The following is a 5,072-nucleotide window of genomic DNA, read 5'->3' as shown; positions in this document are numbered from 1 at the left end:
TAATTTCCTGGATTTCTTTCTTTTTCTTTTTTTTTTTTCCCCCTTTTTTGAGACGGGGTCTCACTCTGTCTCCAGGCTGGAGTGCAGTGGTGCGACCTTGACTCCCTGCAACCTCTTCCTCCCGGGTTCAAGCGACTCTTCTGCCTCAGCCTCCCAAGTAGCTGGGACTACAGGCACCCGCCACCACTCCTAGCTAATTTTTGTATTTTTAGTAGAGATGGAGTTTTACCATGTTGGCCAGGATGGTCTCAATCTCTTGACCTCGTGATCTGCCCGCCTCGTCCTCCCAGAGTGCTGGGATTACTGGCGTGAGCCACCGCGCCTGGCCAATTCTCTGGATTTCTAAATAAAACTATAATGTCCTAAACTAGGACACAATATGTCACGTATTGTCTAATCTTATACTAGACAAGTTCGAACTCTGATATGATTCCTTTTCCCGTCCTCATTGCATAGTTTTTCTCCTGAATTTAGCAGTATATAGAAGTCTGATTTGTGGGAGGACAACAGCCTTTTCTTCTGGGTGTAGTGGCTCACGCCTGTAATCCCAGCACTTTGGGAGGCCGAGGCGGGCAGATCACCTGAGGTCTGGAGTTCAAGACCAGCCTGGTCAACATGGTAAAACCCCATCTCTACTAAAAATACAAAAATTGGCTGGGCATGGTGGCACATGCCTGTAATCCCAGCTACTCGGGAGTCTGAGGCAGGAGAATCACTTGAACCTGAGAGGCGGAGGTTTCAGTGAGCTGAGATTATGCCACTGCACTCCAGCCTGGACGACAGAGTGATACACCGTCTCAAAAAAAAAAAAAAAAACAAAACAGAATATGTATCTTTCTATAAGGCTTCTTGTACAATAGCAATGAAGTCAGCTTTGATGAGAATTTATGATTGGTTTATGTTAAAACATGAAACACTTCCCAAATTTGTGTCATCGTTGCCCAGGAGCCATGCTAATCTTCTCTGTATCGTTCCAATTATTTATTTATTCTTAGTATATTGCTGCCAAAGACAGCACGTGATGACAATTTAATGTAATTCACCTAAATACTTCTGTAGTTTTAAAAAGGGCACCGTAAAATTATTCAATATTAAAATATCAAGGAATATCAAACTTTTTTTTTTTTTCTTTTGAGGCAGAGTCTCGCTGTGTGTCTCAGGCTGGAGTGCAGTGGCGCTATCTGGGCTCACTGCAAACTCCGCCTCCCGGGTTCATGCCATTCTCCTGCCTCAGCTTCCCGAGTAGCTGGGACTACAGGCGCCCGCCACCTCGCCCAGCTAATTTTTTTGTATTTTTAGTAGAGACAGGGTTTCACCGTGTTAGCCAGGATGGTCTCAATCTCCTGACCTCGTGATCCACCCGCCTTGGCCTCCCAAAGTGCTGGGATTACAGGCGTGAGCCACTGCACCCGGCCTAGGCTACCTACTTTTCTTTACCCCCAACTATAACCACCATCTGTCATCAAGATTACTGTGAGAACAGGCCAGGCGCGGTGGCTCACACCTCTAATCCCAGTACTTTGGGAGCCCGAGGCGGGTGGATCACCTGAGGTCAGGAATTTGAGACCAGCCTGGCCAACATGGTAAAACCCCATCTCTACTAAAAATATAAAAAAATTAGCTGAGTGTGGTGGTGGGCGCCTGTAATCCCAGCTACTTGGGAGGCTAAGGTAGGAGAATTGCTTGAACCCAGGAAACAGAGGTTGCAGCGAGCCAACACGGTGTCACTGCACTCCAGCCTGGATAACAGAGTGAGACAACGTCTCAAAAAAAAAAAAAAAAGAAAAGATTAGTGTGAGACCACCTTCTATTTGGTCTTTCTGACTCTAGTCACATCTGCTCCCACATGGCCCCCAGAGTGATCTTTATAAAATGCAAATATTATCATGCCACACTCACCTACTTCACTGATATTTTACTGCCCTCAAGCTAAACCTTTTATCGCCTGGCTCCTTCTTTCTCCATCTTTATTATCCCGTGCTGCACCTCCTTTCACTATATGTCAGCTTGCCAAATAACCTGCTTTTCTTCAAATTCTCCTCATTCTAATTCTTTACACAGACTCCCCTATAGCCACCATCTCCACCTGCCTAATTTAAGGTCTGAAGCAGTAATTAGGAATAATTTTATAGCACAAAATGCCCATATTAAAGGAGAAGAAAGATCACGAATCAATGATGTCAACTTTCACTTTAAGAAACTATAAAGAAAACAGTAAATACAACCTAAAATAAGCAGAAGAAAGATAATATAAATTAAAATGGAAACCAATGAAATAGAAAATAGAAAACAATAAGGAAAATCAGTGAAACCAAAAGCTGGTTCTTTGAGAAGACCAATATAATTTATAAACCATTAGCCTGACTCATCATTAAAAAAGAGAGAAGACAAAAATTATCAGTATCAATAATGAGAGGTGACCTCACTACAGACTCTAAAGTTATTTAAAGCATGAGAGAAGAATATTCTCTTAGCACATTCTTGCTGCTATAACAAAATAGACTGGGTTATTTACAAAGAACAGAAATTTATTTCTTACAGTTCTGGAGACTGGGAAGTCCAAGATCAAGGTGCTGGCATTCAGTGTCTGGTGAGGTCCTTCTTGTCATTAATACATCTCCACATGGTAGAAGGCGGAACATGGAAGGGCATGGGGGATGAACGCTGTGTGCTCACATGGTGATGAGAATGAACCCATTCCCTCAAACCCTTTGTAAGGGCCCCAGTTCCATCCATAACGGCTCTACCCTCGTGACTTTATCACCTCCTAAAAGCCCCATCTCTTATTACTACCACATTGGCAATTACGTTTCAACATACAAATTTTGGGAGATATTCAGACCATAGCAAATATCACCAAAAACTGTATGTCAATAAATTTGACAACTTATATGAAATGGACAAATTCCCACCAACTACTGAAACTCACTGAAGAAGAAATAACCTGAATAGCCCTATATCTATTACAGAGATTAAATTTATAGTTGATTGATCTTTGATTTTTTTTTTTTTTTTTGAGATAAGGTCTCGCTTTGTCACCCAGGCTGAATGCAGTGGTGTGACCTCTTCTCTAGTAAGTCTATGCAGAAGCAGAGGAAAATGCATGTTCAAATTGGTCTGTAAACCCAGCATAATAGTGTTAAATCACAGCTCTGGGGATAAACCAGGGAGAAGTTCATTTACATGAATGAATTTCCAAACTAGGGTCCGTTTCTATGATTCTTTTTTTTTTTGAGATGGAGTCTCACTATGTCGCCCAGGCTGGAGTGCAGTGGCGCAATCCCAGCTCACTGCAACCTCCGCTTCCAGGGTTCAAGTGATTCTCCTGCCTCCTCAGCCTCCCAGGTGGCTGGGATTACAGGCACGCGCCACCATGCTCAGCTAATTTTGTATTTTTAGTAGAGACAGGATTTCACCACGTTGGCCAGGCTGATCTGGAACTCCCCACCTCTCATGATCCGCCTGCCTCAGTCTCCCAAAGTGCTGGGATTACAGGAGTGAGCCACTGTGCCCGGCCTCATATCTATGATTTGACAGACAGCCTCTCTACGCTTACAACAACCAACTGTGGAGATCTTGGATATAGTCATGGAAGTATCATTTCTCATCTCTCTCCATTCTGACCCTCAACACAGTGCTGTTTGTACCCATAACAAAATTGAGTGAAAAATTTAGGGATAAAGAGAAAGGAGCTTTCCAACTTGATAAAGTTCTGTTTTGTTGAATGAACTTCTATAGCTATACCCTAAATGCTTTCAAAAAGAACATTGTTACTTTAATGTCACAAGATATATGTGTGTTTATACACATATACAGACAGCACTTCAAGAGCCTTCTTCCTATCTTTGTATCAACAAAAGGCCAGTGAAATTGTGTTTCTCCCACCACTGAGCAAATGGGGTCCTCATTCCTCTCAGTTTAACAGTGTCATAGGAAACAAGAAGAAAGATGAGAACTCTGACTTGTCTTTTTGAAGAACAGGTCTATCTTTAACATGATATTAAGGCTGGGCACGGTGGCTCACACCTGTAATCCCAGCACTTTGGGAGGCCGAGGTGGGTGGATCACTTGAGGTCGGTCAGGAGTTTGAGACCAGCCAGGCCAACGTGGTGAAACCCTGTCTCTACTAAAAATATAAAAATTAGCAGGGAGTGGTGGCGGGCGCCTGTGGTCCCACCTACCCGGGAGGCTGAGACAGTAGAATCACTTGAACCCAGGAGGCGGAGGTTGCAGTGAGAGGAGATGGCGCCACTGCATTCCAGCTTGGGTGACAGAGCAAGACTCTTGTCTCAAAAAATAAAATAACATGATACCGAACTGTCTGGTGGCCCACATTCATAGCACTCTAATAAATCAGTGTGTACAGTTGCATAATGTTCTGCCCTACAAAATTGACCAGGAACCATCAGATTAATAGGCATTCAACAAAAAAATTAAGTATTTTTAATTGCTAAGGTCTGTGAGTTATCCCTTTTTTCTTCCTCACGTAATAATCTGCACACACGAGAAAATATTCCTGAACTTGAGTTTCTATTTTTTTTCTTTTCCCTATTTGCCTTCTCAAACTCCCAGGTGTTAAAAAAAAGTCTCAAACTTAATGCACATTACAGGCTTCTTTTCTGACATACAAAAATCGTCATCTTAACCTAGTTTTCTTCTCCAAAGTGGTCAAGAGGGAAAACCTCAAGCTTTTATTCAGATCTATGTAAACCACTAGATTGCCTATCTGGTATTTCCTTTTGCAGAAAATCACTAGAAAACTAAATAAGACGAGGCAAAGTTTAGACAAGAATCTGATGGCTTGTTTCTCCGAGATGCAACCTTGGAGAGAGGCTTCCCCAGATTCTAGTCTGGATTCACTTTACTGCATGCTCTTCCCCGCTCTCTAGCTCAATACTCCGGAGAGAAATGAAACTTTTATTTGCTCGAGCAGAAAAAGAAATTAAGAAGGCCACGAACATGCAGCGGACTTGGAGCCCCTTTCTAGCAACAAACAGGCTCGTGCTCCTCCGCCCGCGTTGGTCTCCAGCTTCCCAGAGCCCCGGCGGGTTGCGAGGACCGCCCTGCTCGCC

The 5,072-nt window shown here is 43.2% G+C and overlaps 1 pseudogene; it reads right to left on the bottom strand.

Moving 5' to 3' along the window:
- On the bottom strand, window positions 904–1,018 carry RNU6-650P (RNA, U6 small nuclear 650, pseudogene; annotated as a pseudogene).

This window comes from Homo sapiens, chromosome 7 (assembly GCF_000001405.40).
Source record: "Homo sapiens chromosome 7, GRCh38.p14 Primary Assembly".
NCBI lineage: Eukaryota > Metazoa > Chordata > Mammalia > Primates > Hominidae > Homo > Homo sapiens.
Note: the sequence above shows the minus strand (reverse complement) of the source record. Positions and strands in the feature narration are given on the sequence as shown.